General features: G+C 48.5%; 1 protein-coding gene across 12 annotated transcripts in view, besides 2 other annotated features; it reads right to left on the bottom strand.

Moving 5' to 3' along the window:
• Nucleotides 1–26,691, bottom strand: part of DGLUCY (D-glutamate cyclase) — a 165,300-nt gene that overhangs the window by 47,089 nt on the left and 91,520 nt on the right. For 5 of the 12 annotated variants that reach the window (NM_001358312.2, NM_001358310.2, NM_001286470.2 and 2 more), the window contains 6 exons: nt 20,854–20,905; nt 18,147–18,278; nt 11,166–11,319; nt 8,343–8,541; nt 5,105–5,255; nt 2,488–2,610 (listed from right to left, as the gene is read on the bottom strand). In NM_001358312.2, coding sequence (NP_001345241.1) covers nt 2,488–2,610; nt 5,105–5,255; nt 8,343–8,541; nt 11,166–11,319; nt 18,147–18,249 — 730 coding nt within the window. In that variant the 5' untranslated portion in view covers nt 18,250–18,278; nt 20,854–20,905. Of the gene's footprint in view, nt 1–2,487; nt 2,611–5,104; nt 5,256–8,342; nt 8,542–10,820; nt 11,076–11,165; nt 11,320–18,146; nt 18,279–20,853; nt 20,906–26,691 lie in introns of those variants that run through there. The other 7 variants (NM_001358311.2, NM_001102366.3, NM_024952.8 and 4 more) reach the window with 3 other exon arrangements.
• Nucleotides 21,925–22,219: a silencer, noted in NCBI's record as "tiled region #3148; HepG2 Repressive DNase matched - State 8:EnhW". NCBI's record gives its function as "represses a minimal TATA promoter and a strong SV40 promoter by Sharpr-MPRA in HepG2 cells {active_cell/tissue: HepG2}" and the evidence as "EXISTENCE:reporter gene assay evidence [ECO:0000049][PMID:27701403]".
• Nucleotides 25,542–25,820: a silencer, noted in NCBI's record as "fragment chr14:91619068-91619346 (GRCh37/hg19 assembly coordinates)". NCBI's record gives its function as "represses an EF-1alpha promoter that drives an FKBP-Casp9 reporter gene in an ReSE screen in HepG2 liver carcinoma cells {active_cell/tissue: HepG2}" and the evidence as "EXISTENCE:reporter gene assay evidence [ECO:0000049][PMID:32094911]".

The raw sequence follows: 26,691 nt of genomic DNA, 5'->3' as shown, positions 1-26,691 counted from the left end.
ACACGGGGTTTTGCCCCCATCAGTTGTGAGGTCTGTTGCACATAATCTATTGCTAATAGAAGTTTAAATATTGAAGTTCAAGGTAGGCATGGTGGCTCACGACTATAATCCCAGCACTTTGGGAGGCTGAGGTGGGAGGATCGCTTGAGCCCAGGAGTTCAAGACCAGCTTGGGCAACATAGTGAGACCCCATCTCCACAAAAATTTAAAAATTAGCTGGACATGATGGTGCATACCTGTAGTCCAGCTACTCCAGAGGCTCAGGTGGGAGGATTGCTTGAGCCTAGGAGGTCAAGGCTACAGTGAGCTGTGATCGTGCCACTGCACTCAGCCTGGGTGACAGAGCGAGACCTTGTCTCAAAAAAAAAAAAAGGGAATTTGAGAATGATTCAAGATTGTCCCTCTCTGATGTCATTTGTTCTCATCTACGATCAATTGTGCTATCGCTGTCAGAACTAAAGGACTGGAACATGCCATGCTGGGGTGCCCACAGCAGTGAGATCTCCTCTGCAGGGCACCTGCCACGACCGATGGTGGGAAAGCGGTGAGGCCACTGGGCTGGGGGACGTTTACTGCACGTGGGTGGGTGTGTCTACACACATGCCCACACACACACTCAGACAAGACCATGAGCGCCCAGAGGACTCCATCCTGTCCCATGGAGCACTGTACTCCTGAGGCCTGGGTGCATGCCTGGCACATAGCAGGTTCTCAACACATGCACTTAAATAAATGAACAAATGGAATCCTGTGGATCTTGGCAGCCACGCCTCATCACCACATTAGGGATGATCTTTCCCTCGCATGAGGCCATTCTGATAGCTGAACTCTCACGAATGCTTTCAAAATAAATTAAAGTAACACTACAGTATGTGCTTACAGCGCAAGTGTGGCTGGCCTGGCCAGAATTTTCCAGTGTCCATGACCATGGTCTGCAATAGCTGTTATTTTTCATGTTTCTGTCACCTTCCTATCTTACTGAGAGCTAGCGAGGGCGCCCTCGTGTGTCTCTTCATTGTAATATCACCTAGGCCTTGGAAAAAATGTACTGCTGCTGGCCTTGTTTATAATCACCTTGCAAATACCACAGGAAATGACTTGTTTAGTTATATTTCTTGGCTTCACCTTTGTTTTCAAGGCCCCATCAATCTCCAAAATGTCTCAAAAAGCCAAGCTAAAGGTTAGTCCTCCTGCTAGAATGGGCTGGGATGCTTCAGCAGATAAAAATATATATTTAATCAAAACGGCTGAAGCAATGGCTCATGCTGTTATCCCTATGACTCAGGAGGCTGGGGCAGGAGAATCACTTGAGCCCAGAACTTTGAGACCAGCCTGGACATTGTAACAAGACCCCATCTCTACAAAAAATTTCTAAAAATTGGTTTGGTATGGCGGCGTATGCCTGTAGTCCCAGCTACCTGGGAAGCTGAGATGGGAGGATCACTTGACCCCAGAGGTTTGAGGCTGCAGTGAGCTATGATGATGCCACTGAACTCAAGCCTTGGCAATAGAGTGAGACTCTGTGAAAGAAAGAAAGAAAGAGAAAGAAAGAAAGACAAGACAAGAAGGAAGGGAGAGAGAGAGAAAGAAGAAAGAAGAAGGGAAGGAAGGAAGGAAATATATTTAATCAAAACATATTTGAGGCTGGACACGGTGGCTCATGCCTGCAATCCAAGCACTTTGGGAGGCTGAGGTGGGAGGATCACTTGAGGCCAGGAGTTCAAGACCAGCGTGGCCAACATGGCAAAACCTCGTCTCTACTAAAAATACAAAAATTAGCCAGGTGTGGTGGCATGCACCTGTAATTCCAGCTACTTGGGAGGCTGAGGCACACCTCCCTCGCTGGAGCCCAGGAGGCGGAGCTTGCAGTGAGCCGAGATCGTGCCACTGCACTCCAGCCTGGGCGACAGAGTGAGACTGTGTCTCAACAAAACCAAAAAACCAACGACAAAAAAATTGAGTTGTAAGACAAAGTGCTCTGGTAAGGAGATCCAGCCCTGGGATTAAAAGAAGGAAACCAGGCCAGGCGCGATGACTCACGCCTGTAATCCCAGCACTGTGGGAGGCAAAGGTGGGCAGACCACGAGGTCAGGAGATTGAGACCATCCTGGCCAACATGGTGAAACCCCGTCTCTACTAAAAATACAAAAATTAGCTGGGCATGGTGGCACATGCCTGTAATCCCAGCTACTCAGGAGGCTGAGACTGAAAAATCGCTTGAACCAGGGAGCTGGAGGTTGCAGTGAACCGAGATTGCACCACAGCACTCTAGCCTGGCAACAGAGTGAGACCCTGTCTCAAAAAAAAATAAATAAATAAAAGAAGGAAACCAGAGAGAGATTCACTGTAGCTGTAGGCCTCTGTTTTGTGTTTTGTTTCATGGCTTTATTTTTAAATCATTGTACTACGAGAATATGCTTTCAAGAACTAGACCCCACTGGGCTCCATCCTAGGGCAGATCGATTGTCCCATTATCCCCCAACGTACCACAGCTGCTGACAGCTCCGAGACTGGTCAGCGGAGAAGGCCAGAACACTGGAACCTCCCCTGGGGGACACACCATGGCATCCCCGTAGGCAGGTTTGGAAAGCTCTTTGATTCCCAACAGTTCTGCAGATGGAAAAGGAAAATGTAATTTCCTCAGCAGGGAGCATCCAATTAGAACTGGTTGAGTAGTTTATGGTTCTTTCTCTAAAACAGAAACTCAAATTGCAGGATTATTGTAAATGGTATTTGAGGAAGAGGTGAAGGAGAATAGGGATTAAGGCTTTGACAACTCAGGCTACTCCATAATTTACAGTCCATGTGGCATGGTGGTTTCAGAAAACAGAATCTCAAACTGTGTGGCGTGATTTCTGGAAGGATCCTTGGGTGCATTGAGCCTAGTACTCTCATTGTGCAGATTGCTACCAAAGCCAGCCTTGGGGGGTTGACCTTGGTCCAGGCTGGGTCACATCTCATGCACCTAACCTCAGCTGCTTGACTACCAGCAGCAACCTAATCCCGAAGACAGCAAAGATGGATGTGCTGGGCCCAATCCATCCCCGCTAATGATAAAACTCCTCAGCAGACACCATCCTGGTGGGTGGCCCTGAATCATCCTCATGTGATGAAGCTAGCAAGTACTGACTGCATTTTCACAAAAGGCTAGGTTCTGTCTAATGTTGTCGGTTATGCAGTTGAGCAAGTTTAGGTATACCAAACTTGGACCCTCAACCAAGGCCCAGTCTCAAACTCTCATCAGGCCTTCTAAGAGGCCTGCACAGCTTCTTGATATTGGCTCTTCATCTTGGATCTGTTCACTCACTCTCAGATTGAGTGAATACGCTGGGGATCAATGGATTTCAGCTCAAATTAACATATGGAACAAAGCCATCTCCTACCCAAATATACCAAAGAATAGCAGCCCAGATTAGACGTTGCTTCGAGCTCAAATCTCCGGACAAAGAGCCCTGCTGCAACCCTTGGCTTCCTCCAACCCCAGATTCATTGGAAGTTCATAGGAGCTTTACATTTATCAAAGATCCCCAGTGGGTGAGCGTGTAGAGAAAAAAACTCTACCTAAATGGTGTGTTTCCTCTGCTCTCACACCGCAGTAACAGTCATCCACACAGAAGACTCCTGTGACCAAATTTGTAGGGGTTTCTCCCCACCATCAAGCAGGAGGCACCAGCTGGGTGCCCTCCAATTCCATTCCACCTGGAGATAGCATCAGAACCCACGGGTTGAGGGCTCAGTCCCCAAGGCCACCCCCCTACAGACACCAGTTGCAAGTCTGGGCCTCCAGAACTTCTGACCAACTGGCTTCCAGTTTGATTAACCCTCTTTGGGTTTGATTATACCCAAACTCTTTGAGTTTGATTAATTTCCTGGAGCAGCTCACAGACCTTGAGGAAACATTTACTTATGTATACCAGTTTATCATAAAAAATATTGCAGACCGGGTGCGGTGGCTCATACCTGTAATCCCAGCACTTTGGGAGGCCAAGACGGGCAGACCACTTGAGGCCAGGCGTTCAAGACCAGCCTGGCCAACATGGCAAAACCCCATCTCTACTAAAAATACAAAAATTAGCTGGGCATGGTGTTGGGCACCTGTAATCCCAGCTACTTGGGAGGCTGAGGCAGGAGAATCGCTTGAACCCAGGAGATGGAGGTTGCAGTGAGCTGAGATTGCAACGCTGCACTCCAGCCTGGGCGACAGAGGGAAACTGTGTCTCAAAAATAAATAAATTAATTAATTTAATTAAATTAAATAAAGGATATTGCAAAGGATACAGATAGAGATGCCCAGGGCAAGGTGTGGGGGAAGGGGTGCGGAGCTTCCATGCCCTCCTTAGGCACCACCCTCTAGGAACCTACATGTGTTCAGCTATGTAGAAGCTCACTGAAGCCTATCCTCTTGGGGTTTTACGGAGGCTTCATTACATGAGCATGATTGATTAAACCATCAGCCGTGGGTAATCAGCTTGACCTTTAGCCCCTCTTTCCTCCCTGGAGGTTGCGGGGAGGGGTGGAGCTGAAAGTCCCAACCCTCTAATCCTACCTTAGTCTTTCTGGTGACCAGCCCCACCCTGAACCTATCAGACAAAATACAGCATTTTGGAGGTTCCAAGAATTTTAGGAGTTATGAGCCAGGAATTGTGGACAAAACCCAATATATATATTCATTATATATATATATATTTTTTCCTATGTATGTATTATTAAGCCTCGGTAAAAACCCAAAAGGATGTGATATATATAAACTTACATCACAGTGAGACTGGCTATTCTGCCAAGGGTGGCACCTTTAAACCTGAGGGGCATCTGTAAGCCCAGCCCTGATACAGCTGCCAGAGCCTTTGAGCCTTGTTCAGGGCCTTTGCCCCTGGAGACCCCTGGTAAAAACAAAGACAAGCCATGGGAGCTTAGGAACGTGGCAAACTCCTGTCTGCTTCTTAGGCCCAACTCCAAGAGAGGCTGTCAGGATCATGGGCAGGAGCGAGAGACACTGACCTGGGTCGCCGATGTGAACAGGGGGATCATGGGCAGGAGCGAGAGACACTGACCTGGGTTGCCCATGTGAACAGGAAGATCATGGGCAGGAGCGAGAGACACTGACCTGGGTCGCCCATGTGAACAGGTTGCCCCTGCTCACCTCCGAGGGAGCAGCAGGCCCGCACCAGCCCTTCCAGCTTGTCCTTGGGAATGGGCCTCATCGTGACCACCAGAGGGCAGCAGAAGCCAGCATGGGTAACACAAGGCACTGTTGTCTGACCAAAAAAAAAAAAAAATCAAGTGAAAATGTTAAAAAATGGAATTAGCACAGATCCAAGCTCTGAGCACCAAGAGTTCAAGGCAGCTAAATGAAGGAGGAGTAGCTGTTATAGAAATTAGCTTCTATTTTTATGTGACATAGAGAGAGGGAGTTTGCTGTTAATTACTGGTTTAAAATAGGGAATCTTAACTTTTTGTGTGCCACGGACCCCTTTGGTAGACTAGTACAGCTGTGGACCCCTGGTCAAAGTAATGCCTTTAACTGCATACAAGAAAATGCACAGGATTCCAAAGGAAACCAATTATCCTGCAAGCACAGTTATCAAATAATAGAAAAATGTGGCCAGACACGATGGCTCACACCTGTAATCCCAGCACTTGGGAGGCCGAGGTGGGCGGATCACGAGGTCAGGAGTTCGAGACCAGCCTGGCCAGCATGGTGAAACCCCATCTCTATTAAAAATACAAAAGTTCGCCGGGCATGGTGGCACGCGCCTCTAGTCCCAGCTACTCGGGAGGCTGAGGCAGGAGAACGGCTTGAACCCAGGAGGCGGAGATTGCAGTGAGCCGAAATCACACCATTGCACTCCGGCCTGGGTGACAGAGCAAGACTCCATCTCAAAGAAAAAAAAAAAAGGAAAAATGTGAGACAATATGCATGCTTCCTCAGTAGCAGCCTAAGAAACAAGATGCCAGTTCTACTATCATTGTAACTTTGAAGTAGTGATCAGCATATAGGATATTTTTGAGACATCAGGAAGAACTCTAACGTGATATGAAGATATCTGTGATTTCTGTTGCCAGCCATGAAGTCACAGGGTCTGCTGATATGACAGCCATTTGCTGCCTACATTCATAATTGAAGGAAATGCTAAATGTGAGTTGAGGTTATGAAAATAAAATTGAGGCTGGGCACAGTGGTTCATGCCTGTAATACCAGCACTTTGGGAGGCCAAGAAGGTTGGATCGCTTGAGCCCAGAAGTTCAAGACCAGCCTGGGCAATACAGCGAAACCCTGTCTCTACCAAAAAAAACCAAAACCATAAATTAGCTGGGTGTGCTGGCACATGCCTATGGTCCCAGCTACTCGGGAGGCTGAGATGGGAGGATCTCTTGAACCCAGGAGGTTGAGGCTGCAGTGAGCTGTGACTGTGCCACTGCACCACTCCAGCCTGGGCAACTGAGCAAGAACTGTCAAAAATAAAAATAAAAATAAAATAAAATAAAGAAGGGAGGGAGGGAAGAAGGGAAAAGAAAAACGTACTTTTTTTCCCATCCAATATCATGGAGCCTCTGAATTTCTCTAGGGACTGCAAGGGCCATGGACCAAAGGTAAACAGCCTCTGGTGAATCACGGGCAGAGGGAGGCAAGGGAGAACATCACAGGAGGAGCTGGTGTTCACTCTGCCTCCTGAATCCACACAAGCAACAAGCCTGTCCCCAGACCCCATGGAGCACGGCCTGGTGCCTCCTGCCTTAACAGATGTTGCCCGGTTTGATCTGTGTGACTTTTATTGGTGTTTCGCTCCCCCACCCCACCTCCTGAATGGTTTCTGGTGCCTGCAATAGAGCTTATGAAAGATTTAGGACATGGCCAGGACTATAATCCACTGTGACAGTCTTGGCCACCACCTAAAGAGCTTGCTATCACCACCCTGGCGGCAGCAGGATGGAACCTCGGTGTGGCTGCCAGCAGTGTCTGCATAATAGCACCCAGGAGAGGGGACATGCTGGAGCCACTGGCAGAGCCAGGCAGCCCTCCCCAAGGCTGAGACACATCCCGTCTGGGGGTGGCCAATGGAATCCCAGATGGCTGTCTGGCCATCTCTCCCTGGAGCCCAGGGGCAGAGGTGTCGATATTAGACTGAAAGCTATTTGATAAGCATCGGGGTCAGTGAAGCCCTGTTGAGCACTTACTGTGGACACTTACTTGCACCTTTGTAGGCAACAAACAGTTGCCATATCAGCAGACCCTGTGACTGCAAAGCATCATTTAATTGTCACATCTCTGTTATTGACATTGTACAGATGGGAGCCAGGGGTTCCAGGTTCCCATCTGGCTTTGGGACTTGGGCAAGTCCTTTTCTCTCTTTAGACCTCGGTTTCCTCATCTAAAATGAGAATCTGCATGTGACGAGCCATGGGGCCCTCTCAGCTCCCACCTCCTACAAAGGGTGCTGTGTTCCAGAGCCAGAGACTGCCATGGGTGCCTGCCAGTGGCTGGGGTCCCATCCCCACCCTTCCCTAGCTTCAAGAGAACCGCTCGGGCACACTTCACCCATGAAGGCAGCACAGACTATGGGCAGCTTTGTTGCTGATCAGAGGCAGCTGGGGCCTCTCTGGCAGGAGCCCAAACCAAGACATTTTAATAAATGTCCCAGAGTCCAAGACAAAATCTCTGATCCAAGTCCTCCATAAATAAAGAAACCTGGAGCCTGGCTGTTTATGCTGGCTGACCACTGATGGAGCAGAGTGAACTCTCAGACTTTACCAACAGATGTCCAGGAAGGGTCTGTGGAACCAGGGAATCGAGTGCACTCACCTTGACAAGTAGGGGCTGGGAGAGGCACAGCAGGCACGTCCCAGAGACGCCGGCTGTGCTGTGTTTGTGACTGCCAGAGGCCACCTCCGGCCAAGAACATGACCCAGCTTTCTGGACAGAGACCTGACCCAGGAGCTACTGCCTGGCCGAGGCTCTGCCACAAATCCCTGGGTATTGAGAGAGCCAGGCTCATTCCCCCTGGCTGAGGCTCACCGGAGCCAGGGAGGATTTTTAAAAATCTCGCTGAGGTGCCTGAAGTTAAAGGAGCCAGAGAAATCCCAAGCAGGTTTGGTTTACAGCACTGAACCATGAAGAAGGGCCACACTGGGTGCTCACAGTGGTCCCAGAGGTGAGTGGGACCGAGGCTGGCTCAGAGAGATTGATCATTTCTCCTGGGTTGCACAGCTAGAAATGGCTGAGCTGGGGCTGGAGCTTAGGTTTTCCACCTCCCGTGCCCATGTTCTCCCCACCCCAGGAATATGTAAGTTGATCTGCATCTTCAGGCCATTCTGCCCTTGTGGGCTGTGGGCTGTGTCCCTACCTTGTATGCACCCGCCTGGCTGTGACCTGCTGGGTCTCTTCTGGGGAGCCCCGCTTTCTCCAAGGCCTCCTCCAGGGAGAAGCTGCAGCCCAGGAAGAAGGCCACCATGTCCTTCAGCTGCTCCGAGTACTGCTCCAGCGAAGCCAGGCTGCCGGTGCAGGCACCGAACTCGTATTTCCAGAACTGGGGATGGCCCATCCTGGGGACATAAGGGGAAAGCTGGGAGGGCCCCAGACTCTCACTGTGGCCCCTGATAATACATTATAGAAGGACTGCGGAGAGAGAAGAGGATGTCTAGTGCTGAAATTTTCAGCCCTGGCACCAGGGTAGGGAGCATAGTTTTCAGCAGGGGGCCTTGCTGGCATCCTTCAAATGTCCCCAGATCGGAAACGATTAAATCAGCACGTATAGAACGTACCCCCACCTCCCACCCAGTGTGTCTCCTATACCCGCAAGCCAAAACAAGCCAAACCACCGAGAAAAGTAAATGGTGGCCAGGCACGGTGGCTCATGACTGTAATCCCAGCACTTTGGGAGGCCGAGGCGGGCAGATCACTTGAACTCCGGAGTTCAAGACAAGCCTGGGCAACAAGGTGAAACCCCGTCTATACTAAAAATACAAAAACTAGCCAGGCATGGTGGTACACAGCTGTAATCTCAGCTACTCAGGAGGCTGAAGCAGGAGAATCGCTTGAACCTGGGAGGTGGAGGTTGTAGTGAGCCGAGATCGTGCCACTGCACTACTCCAGCCTGGGCAACAGAGTGAGACTGCCTCAAAGAAAAAAAAAAAAAAAGAAGAAGAAGAAAAGTAAATGGTGGCCTCTCTGCTATAGAGGTAGGACCAGTAGCCCAAAGGGGACAGAGAATATGTGTCTTGGGGAACCTCTCAGTGCCAGTAGTGGGTGAGGCCTTTCTCTTCCCTTAAAGGAAACTCTTCTGTAGGGTTGAAAGACTTCTTTGGTTACAAGCTTATTCTTTACCCACTCCAAACTCTTTTACTGAGCCATGCCTTCATGCCGGGCACATGCTGGGCGATGGGGCTAGAGTAATGGAGAGGACACTGTCCCAGTCTTTTTTTCTTTTTTTAATGTTTTTTATTTATTTATTTTTTTTTTGAGACAGAGTCTTGCTCTGTTGCCCAGCCTGGAGTGCAGTGGTGCAACCTCGGCTCACTGCAACCTCTGCCTCCCAGGTTCAAGTGATTCTCCCACCTCAGCCTCCCAAATAGCTGAGATCATAGGCCCGAACCACCATGCCCGGCTAATTTCTGTATTTTTAGTAGAGACAGCGTTTCACCGCGTTGGCCAGGCTGGTCTCGAATTCCTGATCTCAGGTGATCTGCTCTCCTTGGCCTCCCAAAGTGCTGGGATTACAGGCGTGAGCCACCGCGCCCATCCCATCCCAGCATTTAAAGAGCTCGTAACCCTAATTGATAGGTGAGACTTCACTGAAAACACATACTGGCAATACACAGCAAGGAATGTCAACCGTCTAGGTAGAGTGACACAGAGAAGGAAGAAATCAATTCTCTTCCACAGAGGAGTTTGGTGCTGGGTCTTGAGGCATGAATAGGAGTTTGCCAGTTGGGCAAGGAAGAAGGCATACCCAGGCAGAGGAAGCAGCACGTGGAAAGCCCACTGGGGGATGGGCTCCAGGAGTTTCCAAGTTGGCAGCACAGGAGGCACCGGGGAAAAATGTAAAGGTACAATCATGGGCCCAGATGGGGTCTCCAAAGGACCTTCCCGTCCTAAAATGATCATGACAGAATGTTCCTGGGGGGTTTTCTGTCTCGGGAACTGGCTGGGGATGACTGGAGTGTCAGGGGTCAGGGGAGAAACTGAGCTGGGGCCAGGTCACCATGGGCTTGAGATCAGGCTGAGGTCCAAGCCATAAGAAGATGCTGAAGAATTTTATTTTATTTTATATATATATATTTTAGACAGGGTCTTGCCCTGTTGCCCAGGCTGGAGTGCAGTGACATGATCTCGGCTCACCGCAGCCTCAACCTCCTGGTCTCAAGCAATCCTCCTCAGCCTCCCGAGTAGCTGGGACCACAGGTGTGCACCGCTATGCCCAGTTAATTTTTAAAAAAAAAATTTGTAGAGACCAGGTCTTCCCTATGTTGCCCAGGCTGGTCTCAAACTCCTGGGCTCAAGCCATCCTCCTGCCTCAGCCTCCCGAAGTACTGGGATTACAGGCATGAACCACAGCACCCAGTCTGAAGGAGTTTTAAGAGGAGAGCCACATGATCGGGTTTAGCATTAGAAAGTCACTCTGCTGGGAAAGCAGATGATGACAGGGTTGGGGAAGAAAGGATGAGACTAGGGCTAGGCCAGGGAAGATGCCAGTCTGTGCTGGTGCCATAGGAAAGGTAGACTCGTGGGAGAGGTACACCGACCCAGCATCAGTAGGGCCATTTACTAGATAGGTTCTAGTTTAAAAGCCTGGGAGAACAGACACAATATCTCTGTCTCTGGGTGTTGGTAATGCAAGTGTTTTTTATTTTCTTCTTAATCCTGTACAGGCGGGTTTCTGGCTTGGGCGATGGAGTGGACAGATGGCAGAGCCAGTGGGATTTCTCCAGGGCTGGACTTTCTCCATGATCTCAAAGATCTCAGCCAGGACAGGCGCCAGGTGATAGGGGAAGGAGTCAGAACAGTGGGGAGGGCAGCTCGTTCCTGAGCAACAGTCATGAGTGAGGTTCTGTGCCAGGCACTGTGAAGGTCCCTGAGGCTGGACAGAGAGGTCCCGGATGACAGAGACACCTGGCTACAGCACCTGGACACTCCCAAGCTTCAACCCACAGTAACCCAAGCTTTTTACCTGGTCTCTGAGATAGCACCTTGAGGGGGCAGCATCCACTTTTCTGGCTCACTCTGGCCCAGCAGGGGTAGAGGACCAGTGTTGACCTGGCAGAATCTTTCAAAAGCTGGAGCAAGGGACCTGGGCAGGACCACCAGGCTGGCTGGTCGGAGCTCTGGGTATGGTGGGAGAAGGGAAAAATGTATAGTCAGCGGTTTCTTGGCAGACACTTACTGATTTTCTTTCTTTTTTTTTTTTTTGAGGCGGAGTTTCGCTCTTGTAGCCCATGCTGGAGTGCAATGGCACAATCTTGGCTCACTGCAACCTCCGCCTCCTGGGTTCAAGCAATTCTCCTGCCTCAGCCCCCCGAGTAGCTGGGATCACAGGCGTCTGCCACCACGCCTAGCTAATTGTTTGTATTTTTAGTAGAGACTAAAAATATACATGGGATATTTATTGGCCCATGTTGGGCCAACTGTTCCATGTTGGACAGGCTGGTCTTGAACTCCTGACCTCAGGTGATCCACCCGCCTCGGCCTCCCAAAGTGCTGGGTTACAGGCATGAGCCATTGCGCCCAGCCCCTCTGTGATTTTTTTAAAGTGGCAAGGTCTTGCTATTCCAGGCTGGCCTTGAATTCCTGGACTCAAGTGACCCTCCGGCTTCAGCCTGCCAAGTAGCTGGAACTACAGGTGCACACTACCATACCCAACTTCTAATGTAATTTTTTTTTTTTTGAGACAGAGTCTCGCTTTGTCACCCAGGCTGGAGTGCACTGGCTTGATCTTGGCTCACTGCAACCTGTGCCTCCTGGGTTCAAGTGATTCTCATGCCTCAGCCTCCCAAGTAGCTGGGACTATAGGTGTGCATCACTGTGCCCAGCTAATTTTTGTATTTTTAGTAGGGATGGGGTTTCACTATGGTGGCCAGGTTGGTCTCAAACACCTGGGCTCAAGTGATCTGCCTGTCTTGGCCTCCCAAAGTGCTGGGCTTACAGGCGTGAGCCACCGCAACTGGCCTAATGTAAATTTTGATTGAAGCATTACCTACACTCAAAAAAGTGTACACCACCCTGCAGGGAAGGACACAGGCCTGGCTGGTTTTGCTACCTGCTAATTGCAGAGCCCCACTCAAAAAAGTGTAGGTAATGCTTCAATCAAAAACATACGAACCTACAGCTTGATGAATTGCCATGAAATGAATGCACCCATGTAACCAGCATCCAGATCAAGGAACAAGAGCCAACCATCCTGACTTCTAGCACCACATACGACTTTTGCCTGTTCTTAGACTCCATATAATAAAATCATACACTATGTGTCTTTTAAGTCTAGCTTCTCTCACTCAATATATTTTGAGATTCATTCATATTGTTGCATTCAACAATAGTTCATTCTCACTGCTGCCTAGTATATTCATGCAATGAGGATTTACCCAATCCTATTGCTAATGGACATCTGAGTAGTTTCCAATTTGGGGTTATGACAAATGGTGCTGCCATGAACATTTTAATGCCACAAACATGCATTTTGGAGTACATAAATGTGCATTTCTGGGGTGGTAAGTTATACACATGTGCAACTTTAATAGATACTGCCAAGCAGTTTTCCAAAGTGGTTGTGCCAATTGACACTTGCACCAGTGGTATGTGAGCATCTCCAATACTTCATATTACCTGTCTTTTTCCTTTTAGCCATTCTTGTGGGTGGGTAGTGGTATCCATCACCTTGTGGTTCTAATTTGCATTGTCTAGACTGCTAGTGTGGCTGACTGCCTTTTCATATGTCCTATTGGCCATTTGGGTATCTTTTTGGGGGGCAGATTCTTGCCTGAGCTGGCTCACAGTGTTCACAGAGCTACAGGAGAAGACCTCCTATTACATGCTGTAGCCTCCTCTGGGGCAGCCAGCCTTCCTCCGCAATGGAAGTCCTTTGGCTTTGGTGGTAAACACACCTGGGCTTGAATCCTGATCCTGTCTCTGACCAGCTGTGTGAACCCAGGCTGTGGCTTTGCATGTCTCAGCCTCAGCTTCCCCATCTATAAGATGGCAGCAACCATACCTACCTCCAAGAGACCTCAGGGAGGTAATGTATGTAAGTTATTGAGCACCTCGGTGTTCAGGAAGCAGGGACTAAAGTTACTGTTCAATGAAATCCTGTGTAGATGTTTAAAATTACGGTTACAGAAGAAACACGTAACGGTTATGTTAAAAGATGTTTGTTATGTGTCATTAAAGGAACTATACTAGGTAATGAAACAATGTGTTGGACATATTCTCCTTTTTATAAAGTCAGTGAGTGAAAGAACTAGAAGGAAAGGGGAGGGAAGAGTGGAAAGGACTGTGTCTTGTAATTTGAGTGCCAGCTCAGCCACAATACAACAGAACACCAGGTAGGCATCTAAGGTTTTTGGCTGTAGTCCCTGACTCCCAGACGGCTCTTCTGGACTCACCCAGGGCCTGGGGGAACTCACCACCCTGCAGGGAAGGACACAGGCCTGGCTGGTTTTGCTACCAGCTAATTGCAGAGCCCCATGGCCTTGAGCAAACATAGGCAGTTGCCAGGGAGTGGTTACAGCAGGACTTGGGCAAGACCCAGTGCTGTGCTGGCTTCAGGTCTGGCCCAGCACAGTCACAGTGGTGGTGGCTACAGGGGTGATTGTGTCATTCCACCCCCAGCTTTAGGTGGTTCCAAACAGAGACAGAGAGAGAGAGAGACTCTTTGGGAGAAAGTAAGGGAAGAGAACAAGGGTCTCTGCCTGGTAAACCAGAGAATGCTCCTAGATCTTCTCCAAGACCATCAAACCCATACCTGTACTAAGTCTGCAAGAATGACGGCGTTACTGGGCTTGAGGTGCCCCCTAAAGCAGAAACAGCTTAGATCACAACACCCAAATCCTTTCAAATAACTGGAAAGCCTTCCCAAAACAGAGGACTACAAATAAGCCCAGATAGCAAAGACTACAATAAATATCTAACCCTTGAATGTGCAGACACCAAAGAACATCTACTAGAACCAGTAAGGACATTACAAGTTAATCACGGTTGTCTCCAGGTGACAGAGCTGTGCATACTTGTCATTTGCTTCTCTGTGCTTTTCTCAATATTCTAAAATTAAGACCATACCAAAGAAAAACATAATTATGTTCTATTGGGCCGGGCGTGGTGGCTCACACCTGTAATCCCAGCACTTTGGGAGGCCGAGGTTGGCAGATCACTTGAGGTCAGGAGTTCGAGACCAGCCTGGCCAACATGGTGAAACCCCATCTCTACTAAAAATACAAAAATTAGCCAGGCATGGTGGCACGTGCCTGTAATCCCAGCTACTTGGGAGGCTGAGACAGGAGAATCGCTTGAACCTGGGAGATGGAGGCTGCAGTGAGCCGAGATCGCGCCACTGCACTCCAGCCTGGGTGACAGAGCAAGAATCTGTCTCAAAAAATAATAATTATTATGCTCTATTGGAGAATACCCTTGAGGACAATTGCCCTGTCAGATTTGCTCTATCAACCCATGTCCCTTTCTCTCCTACAATAATCTTGTGGGCTAATATTTACTGAGTGCTTTTTATGTGCCGGGCTCCCCATGCCAAGTCATTTGCACAAGTAATTATATTTTATAGATGAGGGGAACGAGGCTCAGAGAGATGAAATGACTTTCCCAGGGTCACACAGCTGCTGCACGGCACAGCCAGCATTTAAACCTGGAAGGGGTGCCCGCGAGCTTGCCTCATTTCATCACGGAGTGGCCTCTGCTGGGCTGCAGGCACTGGGTTTCCCTAGGAGGGGAGCGCCGTCCTCCATGGGGACTGGGGAGTGAAACAGATGCAACCATCCGCTGGGAATGTCCAGGACCAGCTCCTGCTCAAATCGCAGGGCCCGGAGCTCATTATCACAGTCGCTACAGTGCCTGCCAATGCTACAAGCAGACTTTCCAAATGAGGACACGTGAGACACCCCCAGCTGCCGAAAGCCCAAGGAACCTGATGCCAGTCTCAAGCAAGCCCAGCACGGCTCCAAAAGTTATCTGGAGCGAGGTGGGAGGGGATTTGGCTGGCTTAGAGGCCTCCCACTCCCTACTCACCCGCTTCTTACTGCCAAAGCCCCTTGTGAGAACAAACTGGATTTTTTTTTTTCTTTTTTTTGAGACGGAGTCTCACTCTGTCGCCCAGGCTGGAGTGCAGTGGCGCAATCTTGGCTCACTGCAAGCTCCACCTCCAGGGTTCAAGCAATTCCCCTGCCTCAGCCTCCCGAGTAGCTGGGATTAGAGGCGCATGCCCCCACACCTGGCTAATTCTTTTGTATCTTTAGTAGAGACAGGGTTTCACCATGTTGGGCAGACTGATCTTGAACTCCTGACCTCAGGCAGTCCGCTGGCCTCGGCCTCCCAAAGTGCTGGGATTACAGGTGTGAGCCGTCATGCCCAGCACAAATTGTATCTTTAATACAATAAATCAGGATGGTATGTGCACAAAGCTTCTTTGTTTCCTTTTTTTTTTTTTTTCTTGAGACAGAGTTTCGCTCTTGTCGCCCAGGCTGGAGTGCAATGGTGCGATCTCGGCTCACTGCAACCTCCGCCTTCTGGGTTCAAGTGCTTCTCCTGCCTCAGCATCCCAAGTAACTGGGACTACAGGTGCACACCACCATGCTCAGCTAATTTTTATATTTTTAGTATAGATGGGATTTCTCCATGTTGGCCGGGCTGGTCTTGAATGCCTGACCTCAGGTGATCCACTTGCCTTGGCATCTCAAAGTGCTGGGATTACAGGCGTGCGCCACCGTGCCCGGCCCTTTGTTTCCTTTTTAATTAAATGAACTTTGCAGGTTTTGTTTTGGTTTTGTTCATCTCCACAGCTGGAGATGAACAGAAAAGTCCCCAAGTTGTCCCCATTAGTAACAGGACACAGAATAGAAGCCTTCATGGTCTCTTTCTGGAGAGGATGGTGGACTCTGGAGGCCTCACCTTTTTGGAGGATACTTTATGGTCTAATGTGATTTGTGCATCCCCCAGCTGCCTTGGGCTCCATGGAAGGCAGTAACACTTTTCTTTGTAGATAAACTGAGTGATTTCTCTGAGTCCTTTTACCTCAAAATCATTTTTTTTAACTTAATGACAAGAGAGAGGAAAAAACACCCTTTAACATTTCTAATTTGATTGAAAGCCCCCAGAAGACAGCTCCAAGCTGGAGTTTCCCAGCTGTTTGGTAAAATGAGCTTCTCTCCTTGAGGAGCATTTCACGGCAGCGGGGAACAGCTCAGGTGCCCCTCCCGACAGTCCCACTGGGAAGGTTCTGCTGCTACTTTCATTGTGTAGGTGAGGCTTAGAAAGGTCACAGTTTGCTAGTAAAGAGCGAAGCTGGGACTCATACTCAGGCTGTCTCCCTCCAGGCTCCAAGACCCTGGCTGCTCTGCTCTGTTGCCTCCCAGGGTCCTAGCAAGCAGTCGTCAACCTGGGGTTAAGCTGGTGTTCGCTGCTCGTATATAACAGGTTGCTGTAGACTAATACCTTGGTGGCTCTCTCTGTATATATTAGGTAGTGCAAAAGTAATTGCAGTTTTTGCCATTACTTTTATTTAAAAAAAAAAAAAAAAAAATGGCAAAAATCGCAATTACTTTTGCACCAATTTATATAAACTATGCTCCCCAGTATTCACACCCCATTGTAGCCCCTTCCCTATTGACTCTGGCCTTGGCCCTGTGATTTGCTTTCGCCAATGGGACATTAGTAAGTGTGATGCAAGCAGAAGCTTGGTATGCGTTTGGGCATTAGGACTTATTCTCTTGGAATCTGTCTCATGGCGTCCCATGTAAAGAAGTTTGGCGACCACTATTGAAGAGGCTTCATGGAGAAGAAATGTTCAGCCAGTCTCAGATGTCCCACTGGATGCCAGACATGTCAGGAAGAAGCCATCTTGGATGGTCTATCCCCAACAGACACCACATGGAACAGAAGAAGCGCCCTGCTAAGACCAACCTTGATTGCAGAATTGTGAGATTAATGGTTTTAAGCCACTAAGTTTAAGAGTGCTTTGTTGGGCCTGGTGCGGTGGCTCACACCTGTAACTCCAGCACTTTGGGAGGCCAAGGTGAGCGGATCACGAGGTCAGGAGATGGAGACCATCCTGGCTAACACGGTGAAACCCCGTCTCTACTAAAAATACAAAAAATTAGCTGGGCATGGTGGCGGGCGCCTGTAGTCCCAGCTACTGGGAAGCTGAGGCAGGAGAATGGCATGAACCCAAATCTGGGAGGCGGAGCTTGCAGTGAGCCCAGATCGCATCACTGCACTCCAGCCTGGGCGACAGAGCGAGACTACGTCTCAACAACAACAAAAAAGAGTGCCTTGTTATACAACAGTTAACTCTGTTAGCCCATATAGAGCAACAGAGGCCAGACATATTAATAAACTAAAGGAAAATGGTCTTGCTCTAGTACTTTAGATGGTGCTGATGGTTTTTCCTTGGGCACTTATACCATAACCAGACGAGTCTTTTTTAATGTGAAATTTTGCTTGGACTTAGGTCAATGACAAATTTGGTATCTGTTTTCTCTTGCAGGACCTTTTAGAGCCTTCAGTATCACTCCCAGGAGACAGTAGGGAAATGGGTGCCACCAGAGAATAAGACCAGTCAAGGGTAGGAAGAATTGGTCTGAATCAAAATCTGGTTAAACTGCAGTGTAACCTGGGGGCACTTTTCCCAGAAGGGACAACCCTTTTCATCACCTGAGCCCACTGGTGGTTCTCCATATGGGGCTGAGGTGACCAAGCAGAACTGGGTGTCATTAGACCCATCTGATGGGTTTCCATACCTTGAGTCTAATCCAAGGTTCCAGTTTCTTCTGAGCAGTTAAATAGTGACCAGAGCTAATATCATTCTGCTCTTACTTTCTGTTTCCTATGCAGAATCTAGAAGTCTTAGGAGTTTGTGGGCCCTACACAGCTGGTAATTCCCAGGAACTTTCTTTTTTTTTTTTTTTTTTTTTTTTAACTATCTGGCACCACTTACCTCCAGCCATGCTGGATGTATTTCTGATGTTTGGTTTCTTTTGTAGAATCAAACTCCTTATGGCAGAGGGAAGGCGGGACCTCAGGTGGAGTGTGAAGGGCATCGTGTCAACTTGAATAAGTAGCAGAGAATCTGGGTGAGGGAAGGAAAGGGAACAAATTAGAAAGTGTGGCCCCCTGAAGGCAGCAGATTCAGCCTCACATAGCTTCACATACCACATCACATCCTACCCTTTCCTGGCCCTGTTCCTGGGCCTGCCTTGTGGTGGGCATTGTTTGGAATCCATTCTCCCCCGTCACATCTCCTTTTCTGATGAGAAATTCCTAACGCAAACTTCCCTGTGCCCCTCCCTTGGCCTGGAACGTCCCCCTTCCCTTCCCTAACAGCTTTCCATTCCTCGGGAGCTGCAGAGTCTTCTCCAAAAGGCTGGTGCTGGGCTCCTTGGCCAGGAGGCACCGTGGCCTATTATTCTACTTGACTCTGAACTCCCTTCTCTCCCTAGGGCCTCGAGGGCAGGGACACATGTGAGACTTCTTCCACAGGCTCCAGAGCACCCATCACAGCCTATGCACATAGCACGTGCCCAAAATACACACAGTTGAATGAACAGACGAATGAATACCACCGCAATCGCAAGTGAAATAAGAGGCCGAGTTTCTGTCGACATGTGACTTCCCTTATTTAGATTTAGGTTTCTAGAAGGTATAGGGACTTTGTGTTTTCTTCTTTGTCCTTCCCCTAACCCCACTCTAGGCACAGTGCCTTATACAATCTTTGGTGAGTAAATAGATATTGTAGATTTTTAAAAGTAGAATGTGTTTTTTAAATCACAATTAAAAGCTAAAAAATATGATTTTTAAAAAATAGAGGTGGTCTCAAATCTCTAGGAAATTGTGCTCAGAAAGGAATCCTGTAAGTTGACTTCTTTTTTGTTTGTTTGTTTTTCTTGAGGCAGAGTCTCGCCACTCTGTCTCCCAGGCTGGAGTACAGTGGCGCAATCTCAGCTCAGTGCAACTTCCGCCTCCTGGCTTCAAGAGATTCTCATGCCTCAGCCACCTGAATATCTGGGATTACAGGTATGTGCCACGACACCTGGCTTGTTTTTGTATTTTTAGTAGAGGCGAGGTTTCACCTTGTTGACCAGGCTGGTCTCAAACTCTTGGCCTCAAGTGATCAGCCCACCTTGGCTTCTCAAAGTGCTGGGATTACAGGCGTGAGCCACCACACCTGGCCTAAATTGACTTATGCTATTAAAAAAAGAGGTTTTAGCCAGGTGTGGTGGCTCACGCCTGTAATCCCAGCACTTTGAGAGGCTGAGGCAGGAGGATTGCTTGAGGCCAGGAGTTCAAGACATGCCCAGGCAACATGGCAAAAACCCATGTCTACCAAAAAAAAAAAAAAAAAGCCAGGCATGGTATTGCATGCCTGTAGTCCTAGCTACTTGGGAGGTTGAGGTGGAAGGACCACTTGATCCCAGGAGGTCAAGGCTGCGGTGAATCAAGATCACGCCACTGCACTCCAGCCTGGGCAACAGAGTGAGACCTGTCTCAAAAAAAAAAAAAAAAAGATAGGTTTTAGTATGTCAACAAAATCTAGAGCTAGATAACCACATTGTGTTGGTCTCTAAAGCATAGCCAAGGTCCTTTTCATCCAAATATACCCAGTGCCTAGCATAGTGGCACAAAGGTGGGAGTTCAGTAAGTGTTTGTTGGATGACTAGCTGACTGCAGAATGAATGAGAGCAGGATTCAAGGACAGTGCCCATAGTGAGGGTTCTGGACAAGCCTGACTTTCCACAATTCTATCTAAAGAGAAGAACTCAGTGGAATTCCAAACCACCAATTTATGTTTTCAACTCTAATCTCCTAGATAGAAAATAATGTAAACCCCAGGGCCATTTTAACAAAGAATTTGAGATTACATGAAATCTCTAGCAAACAAAACAAAAAGAATATTGCTTTGGAAGGAGGAGAGATGTACTTAGAGCCAACAGTGAGTACTTTAATAGCTGTGGGAACAAAGTGCTGTGGGGACACAGGGGAGAGAACACTTAGTCCCCGCAGGCTAGTGGGAGGGGGTGCTGGGAGGAGTCAGGTGAGGTAGGATTCCATTGCCCAGTGAAGATTCTGAGGCTTAAAGCAGCTGCTTTGGCAGGTCAGGCCTGGGCTTGCCTAACGCCTGGGCCTGGCAAGCCTGACCACCTTAGCCAAGCAACTGAGCTACCAGCCAGGGTCCTGAATGTCTGTGGTTCCCCAGGGTCACTGCACACTGCAGAGAGGACCTAGCACCTCTGCCTGGCACACAGCAAAGGCCAAAGAGAGAAGCTTTCCATAACCTTGTGGGGAATAGCAGCCACTCCTCTGATAACCGTCCTCATTTGCCCAAACCCACTGGAATGGGCCACCCCACAGGTACCTCCACCCACCCTCATTATTACCCTAGAGGGCAGCAGGTGCAAGCTGTGTGCTGTTTTGCAAATACATTTTAGCCAGGAGACCAAAGTCTGAGGGTTATTGCCTTCTCTTTCCTTTATTTATGTACTGTTTTAATGTAAATGTAAGTTGATTTCTAGGTTGCTTTCCTGGCCTGGAGAGAAATGAGTGTTGCCAGAAATCCTGCCCTGTGAAATGCATGCTGGGAGTGTGCCAGGCACCCCAGTGTCACCCACCGTGCATGCTGGGAGGAAAAGAAGGCTGAGAGCCCCTACCTTACAGAGTCGTCCCTTTGAAGGCAGGGTTAAACAGGGTGTAACTTGGCTCCTGCAAAGTCAAAAAAAAAATGCCTTCAATATACACCAATCAGAGAATGCCCACTCACAGTAAATGATAGCAACTACCACCATATATGGTGACCCACAGTGTGCCAGGACCATGCTAGGGCGTTTACGTACATCATCTGTTAGTTTGTCACTATAGTCCCACACACAAAAAAGGCATTGTTAATCCTATTACAGACAGAAACTGAGGTCCAACGAGCTCAAAGAAGTTACCTAATAATAAAGCAGGTCTAAGTTCATGTTTGTTTGATCACTATTTACCTTTCTATATGTATGAATCTATGTATGTATCCATCCATCCATCCATCCACCCATTCATCCATCCATCTATCCACCCACCCATCCATCCATCCACCCATTCATTCATCCATCCATCCATCCATCCATCCACCCATCCATCCATCCACCCATTCATTCATCCATCCATCTATCCACCCATCCATCCATCTATCCATCCACCCATTCATCCATCCATCCATCCATCCATCCATCCATCCATCCACCCATCCATCCATCCATCCACCCATTCATCCATCCATCCATCCATCCATCCATCCACCCACTCACCCATTCATTCATCCATCTATCCATTCACCCAGCCATTCATCCATTCACCCACCCACCCATTTTGTGGTGTTAGGAATCACATCCTCAGTATATTTTAAAAATAACAGGGACCTTCCCACTATCCCCAACAAGGTGATTTTAGGGCCAGAGCCTCTTCAGCCCATATGCTTTTAGGGACTGAATCCTGAACTTCTCAGACTTTCTATCAGGGCACTGGGGAACCCACTGCTGCATGGCCCAGGTATCTTGTTTTCCGGAGTGGTCTTCCTCTAGAAGTGAGGTGAGATGAGATCCAATCAGTGAGCCCTGGCTAGAATCCAAAAAGCTACCTTTCTGCTCTGAGCTCTCTCTTTTCTCTTTAGAGAACAAACTATCAAACCCAGAAACATCATTCCCTAACATCAAATATATCAGAGAGGAGCCCCACAGACAGTCAACCCCTAGCCAGATCTGACAAGCCCCAAACTTCAGTGTAAAAATATCTCATGTATGCTTGTCACAGATTTCTGAAATTCCACCTTTAGAAAGTAATTTCTCTGTTTACCCAAGCAATCCAATCCTAGGACTGTATCCTACAGATGTGCTCAAACAGTGACTGAGTACACAGCAGCACTGTTTGTAAAAGAAATGATTTAGAAACAGGCCGGGCACAGTGGCTCATGGCTGTAATCCCGGCACTTCGGGAGGCCAAGGTGGGAGGATCGCTGGACCCCAGCAGTTTGAGACCAGCCTAGGCAACATGACAAAACCCTATCTCTACAAAAAATACAAAAATTAGCCAGGTGTGGTGGTGCATGCCTGTAATCCCAGCTACCCGGGAGGCTGAGGCAGGAGAATCACTTGAACCTGGGAGGCGGAGGTTGCAGTGAGCCGAGATCACGCTACTGCACTCCAGTCTGGGCAACAGAGCGAGACTCCATCTCAAAAAAAAAAAAAAAGAATGAGGCTACCCTACACACCTTATCTGAAATAATCTCCCAATGATGCAAAATTAACAAGGCAAGGTGGAGAATTCTCTATTAACCGACATGCCCATGTTCTGTTCACATCCACATAGACATCTGTGGAAGGATGGAGAAGAGCTTGGTATCAGTGGTGCCCTCAGAGGGGAAAGTGGGAGACTGGGGCCTGAGCAGGAGTGGCTGTCGCACTACATTTTATGTGAATGGCGCCCTCTGGAGTTGTGCCTTGGGGTGGCCCTGATGGAAGAGAGGCTTTCTGCTCTTTTGTCTTTTCTGTCCTTTTTTTTTTTTTTTTGGAAACAGGGTCTTGCTCTCTTGCCCAGGCTAGAGTGCAGTGGTACAATCACAATTCACTGCAGCCTCAAACCTCCTGGGCTCAAGCAATCCTCCCACCTCAGTCCCCTGAGTAGCTGGGACTACAGGTGAGCACCACCACGCCCATCTAATTTTTAAATTTTTCTTTTTGTAGAGACGGGGCTGGTCTTAAACTCCTGGGCTCAAATGATCAGTCAGCCTTGGCCTCTCAAAGTGCCAGGATTATAGGAGTGAGCCGCCGTGCAAGGCCAAAGCCACCACGCCTGGCCATCAGTCAACTCTCTAGCCTATAAAAACACGTTTATCTCTTTGGAGATTCCAAGGATTTTAGAAGTTGTATGCCAGGAAACCAGAGGAAGACCAAATACATATCTCATAATATCACAGTACCTCACTGAGTGGTGGTAAGGGTTAAAGTTGTAAACTCATGTAAGGCTCTCAGGACACTTCTGGCCGGTTCACAGTTAGCGCTGTGGAAGTGTTACCCATGTTTATTACTCTGGGCCCCGTGCCAAAAACACAGTGGTGAATAAGACAGTCACAGCCCACACTCACAGGGGTTTACCGTCCCAGGAGACAGACATTAAACGCATAATTACCATCTACCATCGTGTCTGTCTTCCAGGAAAAGATAGAAAAGTAAATAGTTAACTATAACACCATGTGCTTAGCGCTCCGGGGCCTGTGGACTCAGGGTGGAGGAGAAGGGGCTGAGTCTAAAAGGAGAGTAGGGGTCAGACTAGAAGCAGGCTGGGGAGGGAGAAGGCCCTCTAGGCCCAGGGGCCAGCAGGAGCAAGGCAGGGAGGTACTGGGGGGACCAGCTGTCCGTGCTGCAGAGCCTGACACAAGGCAGGAGGTGGCGGGAGCTGGGTCTGGAAAGGAAAGCAGCGGCTGGCTCATGGGGACCCACCTGTCATGTGAAGAAATTTGGATTTATCCCGGAGCCTCAGGAAATCACAGAAGGTACTGAGCAGTGAGTGATTTGTGAAACTTGCCTTTTAGGAAGCTAGTAGGGCTGCAGGTCGGGGACGGACAGCAGGGCAGCCAAAGCGCAAAGTTGGCAGATGAGATGGGAGCGCAGGGCAGAGAAGGAGCATCAGAAAGTCTCTCTCGCAGGTGTGAAAGGAAAATAAATCTTGAGACCCCAAAATCACTAAGCCAAAGGGAAAAGTCAAGCTGGGAACTGCGCAAGCCTGCCTCTCATTTTGTTCCTAAATAAGATCGCTAAAAGATGAATTCCTTGTGGGCTTCAACATCTTTACCCTAAAACAGTTCTATTGAATTTCACCCTGGCAATGTAAATTGACAGCTTATTTTCATGGGTGCCCGACAAAGAATAGACAGAACCCAAAGTCATCCCTCTGAGGCTCACCTGAGACAAATGCATATCTGATTGCTTCCTCTGCCCTATTGTTTATGTAAAAATGTAGATTCACTGAGCCAGACTAAGGCATAAGTGACTACTCCTCTACCCTCCTCTCACATGGAAATTGTGTATTCAGTGAAAGGCTGATCAATCTCACACATAGATTGATTTCTCAGGTCTCCCTAAAATGTATAAAACCAAGCTGTGGCCAGGCATGGTGGTTCACGCCTGTAATCCCAGCACTTTGGGAGGCCAAGTTGGGCAGATCACCTGAGGTCAGGAGCTCAAGACCAGCCTGGCCAACATGGCAAAATCCTGTCTTTACTAAATATACAAAAATTAGCTGGGCATAGTGGTGCACACCCGTAATTCCAGCTACTTGGGAGGCTGAGGCAGGAGAACTGCTTGAACCCGGGAGGCAGAGGCTGCAGTGAGTCGAGATCGCACCACTGCACTCCAGCCTGGGTGACAGAGTGAGACCCTGTCTCAAAAAACAAACAAACAAACAAAAATAATAAAAACCTGTACCCCGACCACCTTGGGTGCATGTCCTCAGGACCGCCTGAGGCTGTATGTTAACGCTGTATCCTTAACTTTGGCAAAATAAACTTTCTAAGTTGATTGAGCTCTGTCTTAGATACTTTTGGGTTCACATAGGAAAGAACCTTGCAGGGGAGAGGCTGCCTTCATCCTTCATGGGCCCGGCAAGGCCTGCATGAGCAGGCAGTGCTCATCACACCATGGGGAACAGCTGAGGTTGTTCCCGTGACGCAGAAACAAGCAAGCAGGCTCACACCCAAGGGAGGGGGTTTTCCTCTTTTCCTTTCAGTTCAGAGAAGACAAGCCTTTCCATCTGTTGTACTCACTGCTGGATGTGCAGCATCAACAGTGCCTGGCACACGGGAGGTGCCCAATAAATGTTCACTGTCAGCCGGGTGCGGTGCCTCACGCCTGCAATCCCAGCACTTTGAGAGGCCGAGGTGGGCGGATCACTTGAGGACAGGAGTTTGAGATCAGCCTGGCCAACATGGTGAAACCCTGTCTCTACTAAAAATACAAAAATTAGCCAGGTGTGGTGGCGCATGTCTATAATCCCAGTTACTGGGGAGGCTGAGGCACGAGACTCGCTTGAACCAGGGAGGCAGAGGTTGCAGTGAGCCGAGATTTCGCCACTGCACTCCAGCCTGGGCGACAGAGCGAGACTGTGTCTATAATAAATAAATAAGTAAATAAAGCTCACTGTCAGGAGGGATGGGCAGAGCATGTGGCTCACACAAAGGCAGCTGAGAAAAGGCGGCCAGGGAGGCAGGAGAGAAACTTTGTGATTCAGAAGCAAGTATTTCAAGGAGGAATTTACGGTCCGGGGAGGTCAAGGAAGAGAAAACCCAAGAAGCATCCACTGAACTTCATAACCCAGGCTCCTTCTTCCAGTTTATCCCACTGAAGCCCTCACAGCTCCACCAGCCCACAACGACAGGAAACACCTTATATTCATGTAGCATCATATTTAGAACCACGAAGGATGCACACGAAAAACAGAAGACACAGCTTCCTTGAAGCTTCCAGTCCAGTCAAGAAGATCCTATTATTTACAAGAATAAACAACTCACAGTGTTACAAAACTCCATTTTTGGTTTCTGTAGATGTCCCCTGGATCACTTCCCCAGAGTCCCACAACTTGATAATGGAAGAACAAAATGAGTAGGTGTGCAGACCTTGTCTCTCTACTCATTAATTTTTGTGGTAGGAGTTGCTCAATGTTTGCCAAGAGAGTTGCTGGTGGTAGCCTAAATACAACTGCAAATTTGCAAAATAAGTGTTGCTGCAAGGAAGAAGGCATCCTAACTGTATAATCATTTTATTTAAAAAATGGTATTATAATAGCAGAGACAAGATTGGGGAAATGCTGGTAGTCATAATTAAGATTTGTTTATTTAATAGGTTAAATACAAGGGCTCCCCACATGCAAAGAATTGTTAATGAAACAAGTATTTTCTTTCTTTATTTTTTTTCTTGAGACAGGGTCTTGCTCTGTCATCAGGCTGGAGTGCAGGTAGTGCAATGATGGCTCACTGCAGCCACAACCTCTCAGGCTCAAGCCATCCTCCCACCTAAGCCTCCTGAGTAGCTTGGGACCACCACAGGCATGCACCACTGTGCCCAGCTAATTTCTGTTATTTTTTTGTAAAGATGGGGGTCTCACTATGCTACCCAGGCTGTATTTTCTGAACTCCTGGGCTCAAGCGATCCTCCTGCCTTGGACTCCCAAAGTGTTGGGATTACAGGCATGAGCCACAACACCTGGCCAAAACAAATATTTTCAATGAAAGCAAATGGTGGTCCCTTCTCCTCCCCTTTCTAAACAATCCAGTCCTAAAGCCACAAGGTGGAGCTGAGTAAGGTAGGACTCCGTGGTGGGGAATGGCGGGTAGGGTCTCTTATGACATGAGACCCTGTCTATAAAGAAAAAAGAAGGGCTGGGTGGGGTGGCTCACGCCTGTAATCCCAGCACTTTGGGAGGCCGAGGCCAGGAGTTCAAGACCAGTCTGGCCAACATGG

This window comes from Homo sapiens, chromosome 14 (assembly GCF_000001405.40).
Source record: "Homo sapiens chromosome 14, GRCh38.p14 Primary Assembly".
NCBI classification, from domain to species: domain Eukaryota; kingdom Metazoa; phylum Chordata; class Mammalia; order Primates; family Hominidae; genus Homo; species Homo sapiens.
This window is presented reverse-complemented; position numbering and strand designations above follow the sequence as displayed.